This window comes from Homo sapiens, chromosome 21 (assembly GCF_000001405.40).
Source record: "Homo sapiens chromosome 21, GRCh38.p14 Primary Assembly".
In the NCBI taxonomy this organism is placed as follows: domain Eukaryota; kingdom Metazoa; phylum Chordata; class Mammalia; order Primates; family Hominidae; genus Homo; species Homo sapiens.
This window is the reverse complement of record NC_000021.9, coordinates 35,554,832-35,580,764: the sequence shown is the minus strand read 5'-3', so window position 1 is coordinate 35,580,764 and position 25,933 is coordinate 35,554,832. Positions and strand designations below refer to the sequence as shown.

The following is a 25,933-nucleotide window of genomic DNA, read 5'->3' as shown; positions in this document are numbered from 1 at the left end:
GCGGCAGTTGCTGGCCTAGACTCACTTCTTCAGGAGGGAGGTTCGCCCTGGAAAAGCTGATTTGCATTTCTGCTGGGATCGATGCCGTGGAGACTGAATACATTGGTAAGTAGTTTAGCAGCTAGTTTGGTCTCAGCTGACAATGATTATGGATTGGGGTGTTCAGAGCAAGAATGCACAAATGGTCTGGAGAAAAATCAGCAGTGAAACTACATTTTTTGTAACGTCTAAATCAGCAAAGAAAAACGCTGCAGAATAGTTTCGGGTGTCTAGGAGAATACGAAGAGGGCTCCAGGCAGGTTAATGGACAGATATTCCCCCGATGTCCTTCATTCTGCACCTGAACTTCTTGGAGGCCATGTTGCCTGCTCTCTGACCCTCCTTTCTCCCTTGCTCTGTCCTCACTGATTCTTGGTTCTATTGGTGTTTTTGGTCTCATTCCCACTTCCCCCCCTGGCCCTCTGTGGTCCTAGCTTTTCATCCCAGAAGCCCCTTGTCATGGCCAGAATCTAGTTGTCTTCAGAAAATTAATCACATGTCAATCTTGGTTGTCCCTAAAAATCCAGGACCAGCAGTCACCTATGAATTTCTTTTGTGGGTCTCAGTAAAAATACAAAGTTAAAAGACACTGGGAGTCACAGGAGCTCAAACACTATCTTTTAAATCTCACGTGACTGCCCTCCCTCAAATAGGCTGTTCCCAGTTCTGAATGAAACAAAATTCCCTTCTGTGATTCTGTTTCATTACCCTCCAAGATCTTCTTCATAGCTCTGATCACTATTAAAGATGGAAACAAAATAAAAGCATGAAGAAATAAATTCTGCTGCATGAGCCTTGCACCATGCCAGGCACATGGTAAGTGTTGATTCAGTGACTAAGTAGATTCTTTTCCTGCTTCCATAGTGGGCTGCATCTAGCATCAGTAGCTTACCCAACAAATGGTATGTTCTTTATAAGAGAAAAAGTACTGGAGATACTTTCCTGCTTTCTGAATTCCGTTTTGTTTCATGATCACTCTTAGATTTGTTAACTGTGTGCATAAGAGCATCTGATATGAATATGGTTCAAGTTGAATCAGCAGAAATGAATCATCATCATAATCATAAGAAACTGAAAACTGAGAAAAAGTATTGGAGATACTTTTTCTGGTACTGATAATATTTCACCTTAATATTTTGCTGTGTTTTGGGTCTATTTCAGCAGATTTTTGATAGAACACCCTGAAATCCTCATATGAGTCATTAAGGGTTTGATTGAATTCAGAATCAAATGTGGGTGGGAAAATGGTCTTCTTGATAATCCATGATTAAGCTTTTTGATTGTTTGGTACTTTTTTTTTTTCGTGGTCTTATCCAGCCAAACCACTCTTCAGACGACACTCCTATTACCCCACACAGAGTAAGTCTGATCACACAAAAGACCTCTGTGTCATGGCCCTTTCAACGCCCATCATCTCTACTTTGAACAAGGGGTATGTTGTTGAGCTCTGCGGCATGAGTTATCTCAGAAGTGGCGCCATCCTTGCTGTCAAATAGCACAGTGATGGAGCGTTTCACAGCGCTTAGGGTTACATGAATTCAGCAGTGTCGTCCAGTTCTGTGGGCACATAGCCTAAAGGTCAAAATTGTAGATTCGATGACTTTGGGGCCAGTGAGGTCCGTTTTGTTTCATGACCACTCTTAGATTTGTCAATTGTGGGCATAAGAGCATCTGATGTAAACATGGTTCAAGTTGAATCAGCACAAGTGAATCACTCTTACTTAAGAAACTGAAACAAAAAAACAAGCACAAACCAACATGGTAGCCTTTGGTGAACTTGCAGGCAAAATATCAATCTCTTTTTCCTCCCTTCCTCTCTCTTCTCTCTCTTTCTCTTTTTATATATGATCGTTATTTAACGAACTGAATGACAATCAGATATATCATTTTTATCCTGGACTGTGACTTTAAAAAGACATTATTTATGAAACACCTACTGTGTCACTACTCATGGGCATTGTAGAGCAAGATCAGCATCTCTCTCTTCCTTCCCTTCTTTGCGGTTGACCCTCTGCAGGTGTCTCAAGGACCATGGCACTGACTTGTTTATGTTACTGAACTTCATGGTTAACAAAATGCCGTTTTCCATCTAATGAATTTGCCCTGCAGGCACAGGAAAAGAGTTGGTTCCACCATTTTCAGAGGCCAAGCAACAATAAATTTTGCAGGATTTTGTTGACGTTAATTGGGTTTGTATTGGTGTGAGACATTCTTGCTCCTGCCTCATTTGTCTTCTGAATCATTTGAATCGCCCACGTTCTGGGCCAGCTAGTCATTCAACCATGTGATTCCAAGCTTAACAATATATCCGAGTCACTGGTGGCTCAATCACACTTTAGTTTATTGCTCAATAAAATAATAATAACAATAAGTTCAGACATTTAACCAGGCTGCTTTTCTCCAGGGGCAAAATAAAGCTTTCCAGTTTAAAAGAGGGCTTGCTTTCATTTCTGTTGTTTTTTTTTTTTTTCCCAAAGAAATAAGTCAAAATGCTTTTGGTATTAACAAAAGACCCTTTCCAGAGGTGTAACTACTAACACCTGGAGAAAATCCTAAGAACCAGAATTGAAGACAAAATGGAGAAGACATGGGGGCAATTATTGTTTGTATGATGGAGACACATACTCATACTCATGCACACACACAAATACAAGTTGTTTTCTCTTATAAAAATAATTACTGCCCAATTCTTATGTTATTATAAAACTATGATTTGCAAATGTGTCTGTTGAAACAGTCTTGCTGTATGGTCAGGTGGCAATAAGATGTGAATAAGTTCTCGCTTTGTTTTTGTTGTGGGCACTAGCTCGTGCAATGTGCTTGTGTATGTAAGAAGTTTTGATGTCAATTGTGTGTGATTGGAGGCATAGAAAGCTGCAGGCAAATTTGTAAATGGGTCTTTATATCTGCAAGTTGGTTACTAGACCATTGCTATCTTGGTGAAGGGCCATTTAAAAAAAATTCAAATCTGTTGAGAACTGATGCTTTGGTAAAATACGATGAAAACTAATGATTAGAAAGTCAGTCATGCATTTGGATGTCATGGTGATATTATATTGCTGTAAAACTTTCTAAGCACTGAACTTCCAGTGTCTGTGCTTATATTGATGCAGACTGGTTACAAATAGTTCCTGGATCTCACTGTTCACAGACCTTTCTTTTAGTAGCTCCATCCTGGACTGCTCAAATGCAGAGAAAACTCTCTTCCAGGCTTAAAATAAATGAGATATCACTTAAAAAAAACACATTGGGGATTAAAAAAAAAACCAGTTGTAAACGAATGAGCTTATTAAATTGTCGATGTAATAGGGTTCTTTTTTAAAGACTTTTTTTAAAACAGCTCACTGTTTTGAAATACCAAAAACAAAAAATGCTTTTAAATTAACTTCAATGTTTGTCCAGTCTGAATCTAACACATTTTTGAATCTTGTCAATGGTCAGTGTGCCAGTGGTGGAAACATTTGCAAAGGTGCTGTTTTCTCTAAATTTGCTTCACTATTTTATATAAGCATTATTATGAAATTCCTTCTAAATCCCTAAAAAACATATGCTCCTTTATGCCACTTTATTACTGAACATTGTTTTCTAGGATACATATAATCACATATGTTTTTATGACTGAGGTGTATCTTTGTGAAATGGCTGGCAGAGCTCAGGGCAGACATTGGCCTGTCCCCACATTGAGAGAAAGACAGTCAATTTCTCACTCTGTTTTTACTAAGGTACCAAACCAATCAGGATTTCAAAAGTGTGTTGCCCAAATGTTGAGACATAGAGTCAGTTTGGACTTTGATATACTTTTAGTGCTGGTGTGTATGCTCAGACATCCATGTCTGTACAGATACCCCCTGAAATAGTTTGATCCAGAGTTCACATATTGCTAAGAATATAGGTTTGCCCTTGTGACCAGTGTAACAGTCTCCCAAACCAGATAGAAGTGCAAAAGGTCAAGCTGGTATGGCAGATTTGCTCAGTGAAGTCAGTGGAGCCCAAGATCCTTCTGTCTTGTTTGTCCATCATCCTAGCATGTTGGTCACACTTGCGTGGTCCACAGTGGCTCATGGCCAAGCTGCTTTCTAGTCAACAAGAAGGGGAGTGTGAAGGAGCAAGGGAGAACATGGAGCAAGGGAGAAGAACATGGGCTCCCCTTTTGGGGCATGACTTGTAAGTTTTATACATTTCTTCCCTTCACATTCTATGGGACCATCTGCTCCAAGATAAGCTCAGAAATTGAGAGTCAAGCACTTAGAATGTTTTATAACAGTATGGCATCACCTTAAAATCCAAACACATGTTTATTTCATTATTTGGAGATATAAAGGCCCATTTGCAAATCAGCCACCCAGCTGCAAAGAAGAAAATGTGCTTGTTTTCTGGACTGCCGTGTGCCCGTCAAATATGGAATTATTGTGGGGGGCCAGCAGTATCCGTGCAGGCGCCTTTCCAACTCCCGTGTCTTGGTTAACTTTGCTTCTCAAATAGTGTCAATTATTTGCCTTATTGTCATTTTCTGAGAAGTAAGGCTATGATGTACATACACTGTGGACTTACCAGGAACTCCTTCACACCACCTTGGCTTCCTCTCAATGCCGCTTTACTGCATGTCGACAGCTTCTACCTATTTGATCTTAGTGCTGAAGGGAGATTTTCCTAGGATCTAAACCACGAAGATTTGTGATGAAACTACAAGAAAGCTGAAGTTCCTTAAACCAAATGCTGCAAGGTGGGAAGTGAATAAAACCTAGTTTTAGATGGCCTCTGCAGAACATGCAGGAATTGAACACACACAGAATACAGGGAGCCTGTGGGTCAAATGCAAATGTGGATAGCTTAGTATGATGGTGGTAATAACATGGGGGTAAAATCTTGGCGGAGTTGCCTTTCTGGAAAGAATTCTAGGTGTCTCCTGAACAGTGAACTCATAATTACATCTTGTAATTGAGCTGTTTACTCACCACCAGTGGAAATCCCTAGGGAGGGGGCTGAAGGATAGGTCTTCCTGTGCTTTCTTTAGCTTCTGTGGCTGTTGAAGAGGTTTGAGGCTCTCCTCTTACCTCCACCCCACATCTGACCTGGCCTGTCCAAAGCCCATTGTGCAGCATCCTGAATCCCATTACTATTTCTCCTCTGATTTCTTTTCCTCCTTCCCTACTTTGTTTAAAAATGTTTGGGCCATGGCTGTTGAGATGGCCGTGGCTTTAACCAAACAGAAACACTGAACTTGCCTCCTCTATGGAATTGGTTACTCATGCTTGAATGATGGATGGCATCTTCCCTGCATGTTGGAATAGAGGCCGGAATGATGTCACTGTGGAGTCTGAACCAGGCTTTCTGTTGTGGTCTTATGGAAACTTGATCTGAAGGGCATAACTAGGTAGAAGGGATGCACTGAGCAGTGGCAGGCAGTGAGAAGCAGCTATATTGCTGCATTCTGGTCAGGAGCACTATGTAAAGACACTCACAAAGGGAGGGAGGGGTGAAATGACCACCTGCATCAAGGATGAGCAAGGGCAGCAGCAATCAGGGACTCCCTGCAGGGCATTGGACTGCCAACGCAGAAGCCAGAAGTGATTTGGTTGAAGTCATGGAGAGGCTTCCATAGGGGAGAGGCCAGTGCGAGGAAGTCCTTATTCTTATTTTTGTTTTTGTCTTGTTTGTTTTTTTAATTTTAATGTCTGACATCTGAATGTCTTTCAGGAAGAGCCCTGTCTTTATTTAGAAAGTTACCCGGGCAAGATGTTCGGAGTTGAGATGGGATTCAAAGGGCGTGGGTTTGGCTGCAGACAAGAAAGCCAAAGGGTTGCAAAAGAAAGAAATTGAATTTGAGTAGTAGTCATATAGATATATGTATATAGTCAATGTGTAGTCTGTTATCCCTCACTCCCCTCTCACCCTTTCCCCCAAGTCCATTCATTGTGTCATTCTTATGCCTTTGCACTCTCAAAGGCATATATGTGTGTGTGTGCATGTGCGTGTCTTTGTTAACCTTGCTTCTCAAATAGTGTCAATTGTTTGCCTTATTGTCATTATATATATACACATACGTGTATATGTGTGTATACACACGTGTGTGTATATACATGCCTTTGAGGGTGCAAAGGCATATATATACTCGGTGATGGGTGCACCAAATCTCACAAATCACCACTAAAGAACTTACTCAGGTAACCAATCACCACCTGTTCCCCAAAAACCTATGGAAATTAAAAAAAAAAAGAAATTGAATTTGAGGGTTACAGAGATACAGAGAAAGAGAGGAAGAAAACTGGAGCCTATAATCAGTCAGAAATTATAGAGGAAGTTAAGAACAGGAGTGTTTCAACGTTGTAAATATACTAACAACCACTCAGTTGTCTACTTTAGACAGGTGAATTTTATGATACATAAATTATATTTCAATAAAGCGTTGAAAGAAGAGAGCACAAGTGTGTCTGATACACAATTTCAGGTTGCTTGCATTGCTGCAGTATAACCTCCAAATGCTCTGCAGAATTGAGCAAGCCTCATGAAAGGATTTGTTTATTTAGTTGCTCGGTTTTCGTGGAAGTCTGGGAATGGAGGAGGATTGCATACTTGGCTTAACATGGGTTGGAAGGAGATAGTGTGCACTGGAAGAAGAGATGTTCCATAGATTCCTAGCTCACTGGAACCTGGGGCTTTTGGCCAGAAGTGTCCAGGAGAATGAAAGTCCCCAGTAATTTGCAGAAATCCTGGGAACATTAGACTTACAATGTAGACAGGAGGGTTATCTGGATATTGTGGACTGGTGACTGTGAGTTTCTGTTAAGTACAGTAGAATGTTTCTAGCATATAACTTATGTTTACTTTTATGGAATGCCCATGGTTCTGGTTACAGTTATATTATGCAAATTCAGCTTTTTCAAAAGCGCATTCCTGGGAAATCCAGAAGATTTGCAGTGAGAAAAAGGACTAGATGGTCAAGTAAGTGTTAGGGAACACTGCAAACTCTATTCCCTCTCTGAGAGTCACAATGTACAATAACATATTAAAGGCTCTAAGAAGGTCTGCAATAAGGCCCATGTTTGTTTAGCCTGGTATTTCCCATACCTAGTTGACCCTGACCTCTTTTCAAACAGCACACATTAACAGGGAAGGTCCTGGGAAACATGCCTGTTTTATCTTTGAGCAAGGACCGTATGCCTGGAGCCAGAATGGAACTCTGCATCAGTCCACGCCTGATATTCTTTCATTGATTCCTTCATTCTTTCAGGGCTGGGAAGCCTATGTTGCTTTGCGTTTGTCAAAAGCAGCAAACTGTTGAACAATAATCATTCAGCAACCACAAAATGTATCCAGGGAATTGGTGCTGTCAGATTTGGATATTAGTCTTTGGTGGCCTAACTCTAGTAATTAAAACACAATGATAATGCAAATGCAAATGAAATTAGCAATGCAATTTGGTTTATCTGCAATTAATATGGTGTAAGCATATTATTACTGGCCTACCGCCGGCTAACGTCAGCCTCTTTTCACGATGCTTGGTAACACAGTGAGTCAACATTTCTAGTTGGATTCTCTCCCTTGCAATCAAATGTCACTGCTACATGCTGCATATAACTTTGTTTTATACCTTCTGAATAGTTGTCACAAATACAGCAGATGTTCCTGACTGCTTAGGTGAATGCCAAGTATTGGACAGGAGGGAATAAAATAAAAATAGTTTAGAACTCAGATACAATAAATATGGTGGGGTAGAAACTAGCGGAAAGGAATACTCTAATCATTGTATTAGACAATTCACTTGTACAACTACGTAGTGATGCAGTTCTCCACGTTCTCTCCCTGATGCTGTTCTCATAAATATCTGTTCATTTCTACCTTTAGCTAGGGTCTGATAGAATTCTCATAACATATTAGAAGGATATTGTTTGACATTGCAAACTTCTCTATGATTCAAAAGCGGGATGGGGGCTGATTTGTGCTGCCCATGATGGCGTCTTCTGCTGTGTCTTTTAATGACTGTTGGCACGAGAGGGCATTCTCCAGCCACTCTCCATCCTTTTCCCAGTTTTTACCCATTTAAAAATTTTCCTAATGTCTTCTCTGGAGTGTTGTGTATTTTCTTCCTGCTTTTTAGTGCTTTCCATTTTTTCCTTGTCTTGTCAACCAGTCTATACACCACTTCATGTGAGGGTACACAACGATTTTGGTAGAATTCTGGGTGTCTGTCTCTGATATTTAAGTGTTAGTGAAGTGATTTGTGAAAATCTTAGATAGATCTAAGATAACATAACAAATTTCATCTTGAGGAATGCTATCCTTGATGTGAAAGTGAAGAGAAGTAATGGGGTGGGCTCATGAGGTTAGCAACAAGAAGGAGCTAGCACATAATGGCTTATGTAATGGAACCATTTAATAAAAATAGGTACAACATACTAGTGTAATTAGATGAAAAGGTCATAGAAATCATCAATTTAGATGGAGGTGGTATGAGAAATAGGATTTAAAACTTCCAGGAAACTGTCTCCTGGAGATTATTTGAACCACAAAACGTGTTTTGCATTTCCAGCTTTATTGCCAAAAGCACGAGGCCATCCGTGGCACAGTGCAAGATCTCTGCAGAGCTTCCCTAACTGGAAGTGTTCAGGGGTAGGTCTCACGCATTACTAATGCTAGAACAATAGAGCTGCCGAAACTCCCGCTCCATGAAAGCGACTAACCTGATCCTTGGCTAGAGTTACTGAGTCTGTACAGGATAATTGCATTTGATTTCTTTAAAGAAAAATGTCCAACTTTTCTATTACTGAAGAAAACAAGAAATAACTTCAATTGTGCTTTAATAAGAAATAGCTTCAATTGTGCTTTACCAACTTTTATCTCTAAGACGTATGAATTTTGCCCCATGACAGTTTCCTAGTATGTCTTCCAATGGGACATTCACGGTCTTTTGTTTTCCTGTTTTTCTGTCAAACCCGTCTACATCTAAGGTGAAATTAAGGCTGTTCCCTTTTGAGATGACCCCTGTCTGATCTCTGCAGACCACCTTTGGCTGATGTCCTTACTCTCTATGATAGACTGTCAACAATTGTGTGGTAGGCTCCTTTTTATTTTGAGCTGAAGTTTCGCTCTGTCACCCAAGCTGGAGTGCAGTGGCACAATCTAGGCTCACTGCAACCTTTGCCTCCCGGGTTCAAGCAGTTCTCATGCCTCAGCCTCCCAAGTAGCTGGGACTACAGGTGCGTGCCACCATGCCCGGCTAATTTTTGTATTTGTTTTTTGATAGAGACGGGGTTTCACCATGTTGGCTAGGCTGGTCTCAAAAGCCTGACCTCAAGTGACCTGCCTGCCTTGGCCTCCCAAAGTGCTGGGATTATAGGCGTAAGCCACTGTGCCGGGACGGTAGCCTCCTTCTCACTCATATCTGTGGTGTCCTGACTTCTTCCTTCTCACCAGAAGTGCCTTCCAAAGTGCTTGGCTCATGGTGTGTACACAATGGATGTGTATGAATGAAATAATAAAAGAAAAGAGAACGGCATTGGTTTACTGACAGCTGGCAACAGGAGTATGCATAATGACTGCTCCCTGTGGTGGCAGAAAGTGACCCTGCCTTAAAGAACAGATGAGCACTTCTGACTTCGGGGACCCAGCATTGGGCACAGGCAAAGGCACCTTGAGATGTTAAAATATCCACTGTAGCGACTAACACCATTCAGGAAAATGCTTCTCCACCTCTGTCTTCTGCTCCTCAAAGCAAAAGATAACAGTCCAAATGCCATGAAAGACTGTGGGTCTATTATTGACAAATAAAAACAAGGGATACCCAATTAAATTGAAATTTCAGATCAACGATGAATAATATTTTTAGTATAAGTATGTCCCAAGTATATTATAGTTGATCCGTCAATAGTATTAGCTACTTTTGTTCTTGGAGATGGATACAGCTTAGGAGAAGTAAGAGAAAGAATAAATTAATGAACTTGTCCTGTCTTGCAGATATGGTGGCAGTATATTCTTGCAGTATGAATTATCATTTTCCAATAGTTCCAAACATCCATCTTCTTGCTTCTCTTTGTGTTCCAATTTGTGGTTTGGGAGGGTGCTCATGAACCAGTGAATTAGCTTGGTGTTCTCAATAGGTGAGCTCATGTTACCTGAGAAATATTTTGTAACATTACACAATTGCTATTATTCTTGAATTTGTGTATAGGTGGGTTTGATGTAACATATATAAAGCATGAAAATGATTTTTCACATATCCCTAGAGATTTATGTATTACTTAGATGTTGCTTTAAGAAATGGTGAAAACAGAAATATAAGTAATAGCAATCTATAGGATGAAGTTAAAATATTTTGTAATATTTTCAATTTGAAGATGATATGTAAAATTAATGTGTTGTTTCCAAATTTAAGTACTACTTTAAATCTGTTATTGATAATTCTGCTCACTACTGCCTGAACAAAGTGTTTCTTTGAAATTAAAATTAGTAAAAAAACTGTCTTGTCTCAGGTGGTATTACAGTCAATGCAATGCACTTTATGTGACAGCTTTGATTATAAAGACATGTGAAATGAAATAAATAGGCCAGGTGCGGTGGATCACGCCTGTAATCCCAGCACTTTGAGTGGCCGAGGCAGGTGGATCACCTGAGGTCAGGAGTTCAAGACCAGCCTGGCCAACATGGTGAAACCCCGTCTCTACTAAAAACACAGAAATTAGCCGGGCGTGGTGGCAGGCATCTGTAATCCCAGCGACTTGGGAGGCTGAGGCTGGAGAATCGCTTGAACCTGGGAGGCGGAGGTTGCAGTGAGCTGAGATCACGCCACTGCACTCCGGCCTGGGCAAAAGAGTGAGACTGTCTGAAAAAAAGAAAAAAGAAATGACAGAAATAAATGTTAGGGAATAAACATATAATATTTAATTAATTATGTACATTTTAATTTTATGACTCTACCAAAGATGCTGACCCACCAGCAGAACACTTAAACATATCTAATAATAGGAATTATTACATTTTGCTGGTATTTGGTTGCCTAAAAACCATAGTTTTAGTTATTTTCCTATGTTGCTATTATAAAGGTGTAATTGTCAGATTGAGAGGCAAGACACATATATTATTTAATAGTTTGTTTATCTGAGTTACAGCATATAGATGCATAGGTGAGAGAGTGCTTTAGATCTTGCCCTGGGCCCTACAAGTGTTGGGGACTAGGCTGCATGGAGAGGCCAGCATTGTACCTTCTTTTCCCCCAGAATCTGGTTGACTCCTCTGGACTCTTGGACATAAATGGTTCTTACTTTCCTGTCACTTTCCCTCAGTGAGATATAGAGACACCTGTATTAGTCAGCTCAGGCTTCCATAATAAAGTGCTGCACCCTGAGAGGCTTAAACAACAGAAACCCAGGGTCTCTCAGTTCTCAAGGCCGGTAACCTGAGATCAAGGTGTCAGCCAGCTTGGTTCCTCTCAGGCTGTGAGGGAGAATCTGTTCCAGGCCTCTCCCCCAGCTTCTGGGGGTTGCTGGCAATCTTTGGTGTTCCTTGTTGATGCATCTCTCCAACCCTCTGCCTATCCGTTCATTTGGGATTCTTCCCACCCATGTGCATGGCTCTGTGTCCAAACTTCCCCTTTTTGTAAGAGCACCAGTCATATTGGATTAGGGACTCATCCTAATGACCTCATCTTAACTAACTCCATCTGCAATGACCCTATTTCCAAATAATGTCACATTCTGAGTACTGAAGGTTAGGACTTCAACATACACATTTTTGGGGTGGGAGACACAATTTAACCTATGATATGGTTTGGTTTTGTGTCCCCATCCAAATCTCATCTTGGATTGTAATCTCTGGATGTGTTGTGGGAGGAACCCAGTAGGAGGTAATTGAATCATGGATGTCATTTTCCCCCATGCTGTTCTCGCGATAGTGAGTGAATTCTCACCAGATCTGGTGGCTTTATAATGGGCTTTTCCCCTTTTGCTCAGCGCTTCTCTTTCCTGCTGCCATGTGAAGAAGGATGTGTTTGCTTCCCCTTCCGCCACGATTGTAAGTTTCCTGAGGCCTCCCCAGTCATGCTGAACTGTGAGCCAATTAAACCCTTTTCCTTTATAAATTATCCAGTCTTGAGTATGTCCTTATAGCAGCATGAGAACTGACTAATACAACCCATAGTAACACTCAGTGTTGTCCACTGGCTGAAGGGGGAATTTAAGGGAGGTTCTATGGAATTGAGGTGGAGGGGTTGCCTGGGGTTGAGGGTGGGAATTGAAGTTAGGATGAAGACCAGACATGGATCACCATTCACACATTTTCGATAACTGAAAAAAGCCTGAAGTGTTTATTTTCTTTTTCTTTTTTGGTGGAGGGTAGTGATGGGGATGGAGTCTATCAGTGTGTCCTTGCATCCAGATATTCCTGATATCCAAGGGCAACATCACCCTGCCAAGTCTGAAGTTGGGCACATACTCCACTTGCTACTTTTTGGGCAGAAGCATAATTTTCTCTTCAGAGGAAGAGTTAGAGAAGATAAAGATTTAAGTTATTTTTATAAGGATATGTTAATTTAAAATTTAATTGTGTTTCGCTTAGGTCACATTAACACAAAGCATAAAACTGGCACATTCATTAAACAAGCCACTGTTTCCTAGGTTAAACATGGAATGATGAAATTAAAATGTCTAGGTTTGGAAAGGTATCATAGTCAATGCTATTCATTATGCTTTATTAAATACCAAAAAAATGTACCGGATTTTGAAAAAAAGAAAACCCACAGTTAAAACATTCAGATACTCTGCTTTTGGCAGGTCTGGCTGTGAATGGAAAATGCCCACAATGCAAGGGCAGGCAGAATCAGCTTGGCCCTAGGAGGGCTGTAAATAATTATTTCTGGAATGGAGAAACACGAGCTAAACATAGCAATTGCCTATGTTTACAATACTTCAATTTGCAAATTTCAAGGTATTGTTCTACCCTGTCAGATAAATACATACTACAGTAACACTGTGGTCATTTTGATGCCTTGACCAGGATAGATACCTTCATGGAGGAAAAGAGTTGCCTGTGAGGTTTAGCTTATTAAATCTATTTGAGATTTGTCTCATGACTTCCATCGTTACCTGTGCATGGGTATAATCTCTGAGTACATAGTCAGGACCCTCCTGAGTGAGTTTTGTTTTGTTGTAGGTAGGTCGTGTCAGGAGGTGAGTGGTAAATATCACCCTGTCTTTGACAAAACTCCTACCTATGTACCTGGAAAATATACATCTTTTGGACAGTTGATTGTCCTCCCATAAGAAGATGGACAAGCTTCTTGAGGATGCAGGTCACAACTTGGAATCAGATTTGAATCCAATTTCTTTGGCCACTTTTATTTATGTATTGTTGAGCCTGAAGTTGAGGCATGCATCCATTTCTTACACTGCAGGATAGGAAGTGGGATGTCAAGTGGAGTGGCTGTGATGATGAAGTGAGATCCTGAATTTAAGACAATTCCTGACAGGTGGTAAATGCTTTTAGGGAGACAATTCCCCAAGGTGCCTCATGGTTCTGCATGTCTTATAAGAAGAACAGTAACTACATTTTTTGCTGGACTATCTTTTCAAGAATGTTTGTTTCGTGCACATCCTTGGATGATAGAGATAGTGTATCCTGCTGGGGCAAAGGGTTCGGCAGGTTTGCTTGCAGCCCTTTATGAAGATTTGGATGTTCTAAGCTTGTAGCTCCTCAGTTGTGACACAAACTCACTGTGTATGCAACCTCCACTTGGGCTTCTCCTCCTCACCTCTGCAAGGGTTGAGGGGTAAGGGAAACCAAAGTAAATGCAAACTTCATGCCGCCTGCTGTGCTGTGAGTAATGAAGTTCTTTGTCTCTGACCCAGGAGTCTCCTGTCTTCTACCAGCATCCATGAAATTGTGGCAGACTAACTTGTTAGCTTGCAAATAGGTTATAATTTCAGACCCTTCATAGTTTTTGACAATGCTTAATATATAATCATTTTTTATCATTAAATAACAAGTGTTTTGAAGGCAGGGACCATGCTGCTCATTGTAGTATCTGCAAGCCTTGTATAGAATGGACTCACAGTGCATGCTTATTGAATGAATTAAATTGGACTGGCTAGTTTTAAACTCAGTTTTTTTTTTCTCAGTTAACTCAAACTCAACAACACCTGCATTAGGGCCAGACAGTGAAGAGGAAGAATAGAGGGAGGAAGGCTGACGGGGAGGAAGAGGAAAAATCCAAACACCTTGATTTCTTTTGTCTTGTTGCACTCATGATCCCCTTTACAGATATTTATTTTCAGGAATAACATATCTCTAACCCTATATCCTCTTCATAAATGCATGACAAAATGACAAGGAATGAATGCATACAACACAGAGTGATTATGTACCAGTGTGTGTGGGGACAGGGACATAACTAGCAAAGAAGCCCCAGTACAAGGTCTAATGAGATCCTTCTTCATGCATGGCAAGGAGAATTCTGATTTCATCCTTCCTCCCATGAGCAGGGGATGTGGGGATGCTGGAGGCAGAACGACAGAGAGCTTCTTCAATGGAGAAGTAAACATGGTCAAAGAACTAGCAGCTGACTCCCCAACTCTAGGGAGGGGGCTTCTGCCATTCCACTTGCTGCTCAAGAGTGTGCAGCAATTGGCCAAAAGAGCAAGGAAATTGAGGCCAAGTAGGTGTCTCTAGATAGGACTGCAAGCTTTGTAGAACAAACAGCAACTATGATCATCCTCCCTGCCACAGCTGTAGCTCAGCATGCTTCATGCTGTCCTGCTAGCTATCAGCCACTCAGCCCCAACAGTACTCCTCCCCACCTCATCCTTGGAAGGAGCTCATTTGCACCCCTCGGAGACTAAGGCTCTATGCAACAACCTGGTTGAGTCTGTGGAGCTGTGCCTTTGGGCAGGAGGCAGAGTGTATTGTGTTTCCTTGATCAGCCTGCCTATCATTTATCAAACATTGCTTGAGTGTCTAGGCATTTGTATTAACTTCTTTCTTATTTTCTGTATTCTTGAAGCCCTGGCACCTGCGGTCTCACGGGTCAGGAGGGACTGCCCCTTGGAGGGGAGAGCGTTAGCTAATTCCCAAAGATAACAATCAACTAACTTAGAAGAGCACCTTTCATATGCAAGCCAATCAGTCCAAAGCCCATACCCTGCCAGCCACCTCTGGGCCACTGTTTACCTGCCCTAATCACACCAAGGGCAGATGTTGGACAACCCAGGACAGCTGCCAAACACTCGAGCCTGCAGAAGTTATTCAAGCTAGCTAACCCTAAACCTGCTTAGCTTGCTTATCCTGCTATACTCATTCCTTCCTTGGAATCCCTCATAAAGCCTCTTTTCATGCCTTCCCCTCACTCCCTCAGCCTCCTGACCAACGCTGGTGCTTCCGCATATGACCCTGCATGACATGGCTGCCTCCTCCTCGGGGGAACCGTGAGTCATGAGCTATCTTTGCAATTGTAGTCCTTTCCTGAGCTGTTGGCCTCATAGTCCTTGGATAATCATAAAACCCACATTTTAAAACAGCATTGCCCTCTGCACTGAAAATAAGATGGGCTTGTGTTAGGGCTTAAGGGAGAACTTTTCTTGGTTTTTGTTAAAGAAAATACATGTAAGATTTGTGTAAGAATTCTTTGTTTTGATTTCCAGTTGGAAATTATAGAAATAGAGCAAGACAGAGTTGCAAGAAGTTTTGCCTTATCCATAAAGGAATGGATAGAAAAATTATGAAATTTCCATAGCCTGGAATACACAACTATTAGAGAGACTGAGTCACAGCTATAGGGGTTGATGTGGGGGTGTTTTCCTTTCTCTTTTTGGGAGAGAAAAACAAGATGCAGAGAAGTGTTTGACAGGGGATTCTACTTTTTAAGAAAATAATGACATAAAGGATGTATCTGTGTGGATATGTGTATACGTGTCTGCATAAAACTAGATGAACCTGAGGAGGAACATGGAAGGGTGCAAGCTAAGTTGATTGTATGAGTTAATGTGGGTGGATATTGGGGAGCAGGGAGAATAGAGAGGCCAAGGAAAACTGAGAGAGAAAAGAGAGCACTTAAAATCTCATATCCACACTTAAATGTTTATATTAAATTATTAGTGTTAATATGTATAGATACATTTTAAAGCTCTATAATTCAGTGGTTCTGCTCTTTAGCAGAATTTTACTCTGTGACTCAAGATATGTTAATATCATTCTTGTGTGATTTACTTTTAAAGGGAGATGAAGATAGATTTGCCTGCCATCCATCCCGCCTGTTGAACGCAGGCAAACAGAGTCCTTGGGTTTTAATGTCTTATTGCCAGGCAGACGTGGGCTAGACTTGAATCACCACCTCCCCAGTCAGGTCTCTGATGTGTAAGACAAGCAGCATGGGAAGAACCAGCTGCCCTGCAGAAGAGACGCCTGTCTCTCCAGATAGAATGGAGCGTTTCTGTCCCTCGGGTTCCAGACCACCACAGACTCACCAGCTCCAGCCCCTGCGGTCACTTGGCCAGACAAAAGCAAGTTCTTTTCTCACAGCACAGGGCCTCCTCTTCTGCAAACTTAGCCCCTTCTGTTGGGTGTTACTAAGCCGTGAGTCTAAATATGGCACATGGCCGTTGGATGGAAATCATTTCCAGTAAAAGAGGATGTTTCCTCAGCAGTTTTCAAGCTGGCGCTGACTCAAGCATCCTCGAGGGAGACCATTTAACTGGTCATTAGGGAGACAGCAAAAAGGCATTGAGGAATTCTGTAACAAGATGCGTATCCTGTGTGGAAGGCCCCCTGGGACTCTGACCATTGGCTCTCTGTGCTTGCTGGAGAGGTTTTATTGATGCTGCATAAAAGTATTTTGCAGCAACAAATCTGTTAGTTGTGCATTGGTTTAAAGATGCTGTACTGTACTGGATCCAGCTTTGTGAGGAACAGCACTGAAGGTGAGACGTGGCACTCAGACAGTAATTAAATGTTTAAAGATGATTAATACCCAAGTCAATACATCATCAGAGGTAGAGAAGAGAATTGAGGCCTTGAAAGGAGAGGTGAAAATTTATGCTGAGATTTTTGGGCAAGCTATTTACACTGCCCTGAAGGCAACACATACACTTACTTACAAATTGAAATGTTTGAAAATCAGAATGTAAACACAGTGAGGATTCCTTGACGTAGACTCTATAGTGCAAAAAAGGGTTTACTTGAGGGGTATGTAGGGTCTGTCTGCTATGGAAAAAAAATGATCCTTATGAGAATAAAGTGTCATAAAACTTCAAGGCTAGTACTTGTAGACTGACAAAGATATAGCTACTGAGGATGATAAGACCAATGATCTGAATTCAAATAGGTCCTTCAGGTTCTGGGATCATTCAACACCTATCAGAGCTCTAGCAGCAGGTCCATAAGAGTAGGGGTTCACTTTGCACAATGAAGCATGGATTCATAGGATCTTTGGTGTAGGAACCCATTCCACTAGGGTTCATTCCTGTTCCCAAATATTTTCTTTTTCAACACTGTTGATGTCGATCTTTAGGGAAGCGTTTCAAAGTACATGAATGGCAAGAATGAGAGAATGTATTTTTAAAATGGAAGATATGCTAAAAATGTACTTTTTAAAAGGATCTGAATGAAACTACAGTTACTTAATCAAGAAACAATATGACTAACCACAGCTGTGTAGTTCTTAGAGAGTATTTACGAATGCGTGTCGTCAATGAATGTGTCCTGGGCATGGACCATGGGGTCAGAAACTTTTATTTATGTATTCACTTATTTATTTATCTTCTAAGTCTAGAACTTTCTTTCTTACAAATAGGAATCTGTAAAGTGTAGTAAATCAGGCTTATTTGTTTTAAAGAAGTCATTTGAACTATTTCTCCTTTAAAACAGAAATATTTTTAGGTGCAACCTGTTGCCCTTGGCAATAGAAGTGCTGCTCTGTTAATCTTTGCTCTGATCTCTCTTTTCATGTTGTGATCTTTTAGACTCTGTATTGGTCCTAAAATGATGGGTCTTTATCCTTGGGATAACTCTCAGTGCCTTTCCTATAGGAGGTCAAGGTCAAGGCTCCTTGTAGTGACACAGAGTTGGGGCTTTCTGCATATAGTACTGAAGCCCATAGAGAAGTGGAGGCCCGAGAGAAGATTCACATGGTGGAAGGAAAGGGATGGTGAACCCATACTACTAGAAGATCATTCAGCCCTAGAGACCATGCTCCAAGCTAAGATCATGGCCTTAGTGAGAACCTTCCTTGAAATTTCCATGAAACCATAGCTCAATAGTCTCAGAAGGGCATTAGCTGCGTCCCGTGGGCTAAGGGGGCAGGCTGCTTCTGTGACAAGTGATGGTCCTGAGTATGACACTTGACTCTCCTGGGTGTGACACTCTATGGATCTATATAAAATGATTTCTGTGGATAAGGTAGGAAGACTGGCAGGAGACATGACAAAAGAAGACCTGCCTATGCGTCCATTGGTTGGAGCTTGGTAGGAAGCAGTAGAATATGGAGCAGTGGGATTCTTGCTTTTTTGTTCTAGCTAAAAGCTTACTTTAGGAATGACACTCCTATGAATATGGAACAAAACATGGGAAGTCATGTTAACCAATATGATTCCATTTTCTCATATTTCTTAAGGTAGTAACCATGTGGTGTTTAAAATATCAGGTAGAAAATGATAAGTTTAATTTATTGTCTGAGTGCATAACTTCTTAACGCTTGACTCAAATGCTTTGGGGTAATGAAAGCACAAGACATCATCTATTCCCCCCTCCTCACCTTCTTTTCCTCTTCCTCTTCTCCTTCCTCTCTCTCCTCCTCCTCTTCTTCTTCCTCTTCTTCCTCATCTTACTCTTCCCTTTCCTCTTCTCTTGTTCTTCCTCTCCCTCCCTCCCTCCCTCCCTCCATTGTTCTCTTTCTCCTATCTCCATGAAGGCAGACCAGGAAATGTGCCTGCTGGAATGAGCCTCTAGCCTTAAGCCCCCTACAGTAGTGGACACACTCCACCAACAGAGACTTCTTGAGTGTCTCCATGTGTCATGCACTGGGCCAGCCATGAGGGTTTAGCAGTGGACAAAATGAGCAAGTCCTTGCTTTCATGTGCCCGGAACTCCAGTGAGGGCCAGAATTATAGCTGGGGTTAGGCCCATGGAAGGTGCTTAAGAAACTGGTGGTATAAGTTACCATCAGGGAAATGTTAGAGACAACCTTTTAATTTTTTTTAAAATTAAAGATGGTCTGCTACAGGCTTTCCAGGGATGTCAAAAGTTATTATTTAAAAATTTTACTTTTTGCTTTAGATGCAATTAGAATGCTAATCTGTCTTGTTGCCCAATCCCCACCTGGTGGTTTTTGCTCGTGTTGGAAGGATATGATGGATATTACTAATTTCTTCAGAATGATGTAACTACAGTGTAGAGGTCCAGAGCGCAGATATACAGAGTTCTGCAAAATCTGTCTGCTCCAAAGATAGGCATTTCTTATGATATTTGTCTAAAACACTAGAATTAGTCATGGAGGGAAAACTAGATCTTACCATGAAAATGAACTAACCACATATATCTCATGAATGTACCCAGAGTCCTTACGATGGGTACAGCAGGCACGCTGATAACTTATTTAAATAAAAAGGACAATGAAACATTCTAAAGCATCATGTTATATTTATTAATAAAAAAATAAGTCTGGCCATGTGTGGTGGTTGCAGAAACATCTATAATATATACAGAACACATTCTTTATGCAGAAATTGTAGACCCAATTGAATAAACACACAAGATATTCTTTTTAAAAAGATTATTAACTTTTAATTTTTAAGCAAGGTGTTCTTATATACAGGGGATTCAGTGGAAAAATTATAGCTCTGTGAAGATATTAACTATCTACCAATGAAAAAGTTATTTATAAACTTGTAATAATATGGGTTATTGACTTCATCCCATAAATTCCACTTTAAGATGTTTTAAAATGAGTATTTCTGAGCGAATGTGCCGAGATGGCTCCAATGTGATCTTCTGTGTTGAGTTAGTATGTTGCTCCATCCAAGAGAGCCAGTTAATGGTCTAGCTGTTATCACTTTAATGCATTCAGTCCTGTCTAGCAAAAGGTCTAGGGAGGTATCGAGTGAGTATCACACTTTCAGGCAGAAGGACGCAGACTACCATGGACATCACTTCTCAGATACTGGGGAGAAATATTTTCAAGCCAAAAATGGTTGGATGCATCAGGGTTGTGTTCCAGTTCAGGGACCCTGCTCCCTGTTGCTCTATTTTTCTAGAGAGTTCTTTGAAAAGGTCACTAAAATGTCAGAAGAAAAGCAGATCAAGTTTAAGTGCCAGTTGCTCTGGGGAGTTGCAAACCTGGGTTGGAGACATTGGCTGTTGAGCAGAGGCAAGGTGAGAGGTCGGGACTACGCCTAGTCTTTCTTACTGGGCAAGAAGAGCCTCCAGTCCAGCTAGCTCATTGGCAGACAACTCCAAGAGAGACACTGCTGTCATCCAGTAGGTCATCCTGCCAATCTCTCCATGGTACCCAACGGTGAAAGGTATTGTATGGGGGACTGTACAAAAATTATGTGAATGAGGTTCCCATCTTCTGCAGAAGAAAATGAACCAATGGCAAATTGCATATGCAGATTTAAGATTGTCAGCTGCGAGTGCAGCTAGGTTCAAATGGGTTACCCGTTCAGAAGCACTCCAGGAGAAGTGACTCACCCTCCTCTTGCTATTTTTATATTTTGCAAGTTTTGTGTTTTTCTAAATACAAGGTTTTATTCTTTCTGCTTAGTCCTTGAAAATGACAAGAGATGTGCATTAGCTGGAAGTTACTAACTTAGTAACTTGAGGGTTAATTGATCACAGGATGTGGCATAAATGAGAAAAAGCTTAAAATCTGATGTTCTCCCTCCATATCTATACATGAGATGGGAAATACATTTAGTTTTCTGTAACAAAGGATGATAGGTCCTCCAAACATTTTCTAATTTTTGACTTCCTTTTTGGCCCGTGAGTCATTAAGCAGTATGTTATTAATTTCCAAATATTTGGAGATTTTCTAGATGTCTTAATGCTATTGGTTTCTAATTTAATTTTATTGCCGTCAGAGAATATACTCTGTTCCCAGAAGGTCACTGAGATGTGATTTATGGCTCACGATATGGTTCCCTTGGTGGCTGTTTCACGTGCATTTGAGAGAACATGCATTCTGAAGTTTTGTAGTTACTACAGCTGGACAAGTCAAATTGTTCGACAGTGTTATTTGAAACTTCCCAATTCCCATCTTTTCAAAGTCTAGTTGTTCTATCAGTTAGAGAGGGATATCAAAATCTCCACCTATGGTTGTGGATTTATCTATTTCTTCTTTAAATTTTGTCAGCCTTTGCTTATGAGTCACAGCTCAAAGCCTGGGAAACACTGTTCTGGGAGACCACAGAGGGAGGAATGGCCCTGGCTTTTAGTGGCGTCACGGATGGTACAGTACTTGATCCCAGACAGCAGGGTGAGTAAGATTAGGGGAAATGGAAGGGCAAGGAAGGCCCTGGTGAAGTCAAAGAACGTAATATACAAAGCAAATGAGTTAGAAATGCAGATGGAATGTCCCGGGAGCAAATTATGGAATAGTTGATATCTCTTGGATGGAATAGTTGATATTGATATCTCGTCAATAGTCAATTGACTAGCAATGTTTCCTGACCACACACTGGCTTCCCTACTCCAACTAGATTCAAAAGGCCCTGAATCTCCACGGCATCAGTAATTTGTTATGATTTATTCTCTCATTCATGACTAATTTTGTATTTCCTATTTTGTATTATTTTTCTTACATAGTTCCACAAATTGTGTAAGTTTCAGGCCCCACAAAACCTAGATTCACTCCATCCCTTCTCCTCCACCTACCAGCTATGCAATCTTTGGCAAGTTACTAAGCTCTCTGGCCTAAGTTTCCTCACCTGTACAACAAAGCTAATAATGGTACTGCCTCCATGGGTGGTCCAGAGGGATAATTGAGTTAAGATGTATAAAGCTCTTTACAATAGTGCCTGGTGCACAGTTACACTGACTTAAGTGTTTGTTAACTAAAGATAAAAGGAAAATGGGAATAGCCTTTGTGGTACGCTTTGACAAATGACAAAGATTCTCTCCTTGTTTTTTTTTTTTTTTTTTTTTTTGAGATGGAGTCTTGCTCTGTCGCCCAGGTTAGAGTGCAGTGGTGTGACCTCGGCTCACTGCAACCTCTGCCCCCCAGGTTCAAGTGATTCTCCTGCCTCAGCCTCCCGAGTAACTGGGATTACAGGCACCCGACACTGCACCTGGCTAATTTTTGTATTTTTAGTGGAGATGGGGCTTCACCATCTTGGCCAGGCTGGTCTCTAACTCCTGACCCCGTGATCCACCCACCTTGGCCTCCACAAGTGCTGGGATTACAGGTATGAGCTACTGCACCCAGCCAAGATTCTCTCCTTCTAAAGTCTCTCCCTGATTAGGTCTTGATGTTTGGATTCTCATGCATGGTCCAGTGTTGGCAAGAATCCTGCTAAGTCAGTTGACCCAGAACCCCTCCCCCTCAATATTCGATCACCTTCTATGTCTGATCAGATTCCTCATCCTTCACCATCCCCCATAATGGGTGATCACCCTGGCCTGTCTTCAGCAAGAGTCCTGCTAAGAATTTTTGTAAAGGGTCACTCACTTGTTCTACACAAATTGTGACTTCATTCACCTGAAACAACAGGTAAAAAAGAATTAGTGAAATAGTGTGTTTGATTTGCTGTATTAAGTAAGTACGTTCCCCTTACCTCTGATGTTTCCTCTTATTAATTTTCCATCCACTGGTCCCTACCCTGTTCCTTGGCTGTAAATTTCCACTTGGTCTTGCTGTATTTGGAATTCGTTCCAATCTGTCTCTCCCATTCAAAAATTATATTGCAGTGGCCCCTATACCTATTACAATAGTCTCCCATTGAATAAAGTCTTCCTTCCTGTCTTTAACACATGTCATGAACAATTTTTTCTTTATTACCACTGTGGTTTAAGACTCAGTTTTCTTACCTGGAAAATGGGAATATTGTGACTTCCAAGTAAAATTCCATGCACCTAGTATATTTTGTTGTTTGATTCACCCCCAGGCTACTTCTCATAGCTGTGGAGTTAGCTATTCTCCACCTGTCCTGAGGGGAAAATTTTAATATGAATAAGCATGCTGCAAAATCATCACATTCTGCATTTCAAAGCAAAATCTGAACCTGTGCCTTAACCTTATTGACACAAATAATGGAGAATTTGCTGTATTTTGTTCTTCCTTTCTTAATGAGTATTAACTTGATTTGGAGTACGTTTAAAAAAATTTTGGCTTCGTTGTAAATATTCATATATGCCTATATGTGGGTATAAACAATGTAAAAATACACAAAAAATCCACTTATAATTCGTAAGCTAAGTACATGTACACATAATCTTGATCTTTCTCTGTGCATGCAAATGTGTATATTTTATGGAGTTTTGTCTAATCCAAACTCAAATGATTTCAAAGTGTTGAGAACCGCCTTGGGTGTCATATTTTACTATCCATGAGAATGGCATTCAGTTTTAAAGTAATTTCCAAAGTCGAGTGATAATTCTAGTTAATAAGGTCTTGTCTCCATGTTCCAATGCCATTTATGTTCCATTTTCTGAGAATATCCCCTGTGCCTAGGGTGCCCGAGGTGCGGGAGTGAGGTTTCAGTTGAAATAATGGGCAGGTCATGGTGTGAGACCCTTGAATTTCAGCTATGTCCCAGACGTCATGCATAACACTACTTGGGCCTTTCAGCCCTTAAACTGCTAATGGTTTGTTAATATATCAGAGGTAAAGATGTCAATACATAGAACTGAAGGTTTTTCAAATTTTATTTTAAAGGCAAAGAGCATTAAGGATTTGCCAGCCAAGTTTTAAGTTTCATTACTGATGACAAATTTATTTTGTCACAAAGAAGGTGCAGAGCTAAAAGACTATTAGTCTTTGAATCAGCACACATGAATTTGATGCATGTGGCATTTACATTGGCCTCGGTGCTCTCATCTGAAAAACCACCTCCTTAAACAGCATCATGATACCAGTGAGGGATTTTACAATTTACTCCAGCTGGAGGAAAGCTACTGGCAAAACGTGAGAATAGTTACAGCACTGAAGGTATAGACCTTGATAATTCCTAGAAATGATTTAGAGTCTGCCTTTTACAAGGTAAGCAAAGATGATCCCAATATCTCACATATTTGCTTTATCTGATTCTTGAACAGTAACACCAGGAGGAAGTCTTTATTATCCCCATCTTACAGGTCTTGTATTTGAGGTTCGGAAACATACCAGTATCTAAACTAAAATTCAGGTTCACATCCAGGTCTTTAGACTCTAAATCTGGTGCTCTTGGCACTAAGCTGTCTCAAGTGTTGCGGAATGCCAAAGAAGAGATTTTGATCTCTGCCATTTAGTTTATATCTCCCATCATCTCGCACTGGGGAATTGTAGACATTTGCTGTCTTTCAAGGCTTTGAGAACCTGAATAGCAAATGCAATGCAATTGCCAAGTGATGTGTATCTTCCCTACCTGCAACACATTATGTTTTGATCTTGATGCAATGAATGGTCGTGGACTGTCCCCTGTGTGTGTAATAGAGAATGGATAATGGTTCTAAACAGACATTTAACCTCCTGGACCTGTCCCAGGAGCTCTGTAGGTGGTGTGCTTCTCCAGATGCTCTGATGGAGGGGAATTCTCTTGGCATCCCTTAGGACTTTGCCAGCCATGGCACCAACCAGAGGAGTCACAGAGAGAAGGATATGGTGAGACCCCCAAATGGTGCCTGGGGGCAAAGGAAGATCGATGAACCGAATATTCAAAGTGACTGAAAAGGTCCCAAAACTTTTCAACGGCATTTAAAGCATTTGTGTGTGAGATACCTGAAAGTGTGTATAAGTCATTTTGTTCTATATTCATTTGTGTATATTAGTGTTAATTACTGAACATGAGTTAAGATCTTATAAATACGGACTAGAAAATTCGGTCTTGTTTATGCATCTGCTCTTGACCTTGCTAGCATATAAACGGAAATGCAGAAGGGAAGCTAGCATTTATTGAGCACCTACTATATGAACAGCAGTTTATATATACTTTATCTCATTAAATCCTCATGGCCTTCAACCTAATGAGATAGTTATTTCAAAGACATTTTACAGATGATGTAATTGAGTTCATAGCAGTTAAGAAACATCCCAATGGCTACACAGCTAATGCATGCTGAAGAGATTACATGGCAAAGCTGACTTAAAGGAAAGCCCGTGCGTTATAGTGATTGCATGTCATCTTCCCTACAGTGGCTTTACATGCTCCATGTTTCTCAGACAGGAGGTGGCACTTCTTAACAGATGTTCATCCTTAGTCAACAGTTTGAGAAAAATGACAATTCAGGAAAAGGTGAATGGCACTTCAGGGAAAGGTTTGCATATAGACCAAAACATGGTCATATCTTAAAATAGAATTGCCAAATGTGTAGGGCAGTGACTTCTGTGAACATCAGTTCAGAGAGCTACATCATGGTTCATTTGGTTCCACGGTTGTATCTCCTCTGTGGTCTCCCGAAACAGTGTTTCCCAAATTTGAGCTATGACTTGTCAGCAAAAGCTGACAAAATTAAAGGAAAAAATAGATAAATTCACAACCATAGGTGGAGATTTTGATATCCCTCTCTCAGTAACTAATAAAACAGCTAGACTTTGAAAAGATTGGCATTGGGAAGTTTCAGATAACATTGTCAAATCATTCTTTCTTTCAGAGAGGGTTTCTGTACCTCTAAATGGTTCCACACATTCCCCCAAATACAAAATAAGTAGTTTGCTAGTTTGCTGTACCTCCCAGTAAGTTCATTTTCACTCCTCCCTATTTTTAAAAAATAACATTTTATGAGA

At 40.8% G+C, this 25,933-nt stretch overlaps 1 long non-coding RNA gene across 1 annotated transcript in view; it reads left to right on the top strand.

Moving 5' to 3' along the window:
* Nucleotides 1-25,933, top strand: part of LOC100506403 (uncharacterized) — a 208,258-nt gene continuing 182,325 nt past the window's right edge. Inside the window, exon 1 of the long non-coding RNA NR_073512.1 lies at nucleotides 1-105. This is a non-coding gene — a long non-coding RNA (uncharacterized LOC100506403). The remainder of the gene's footprint in view (nucleotides 106-25,933) is intronic.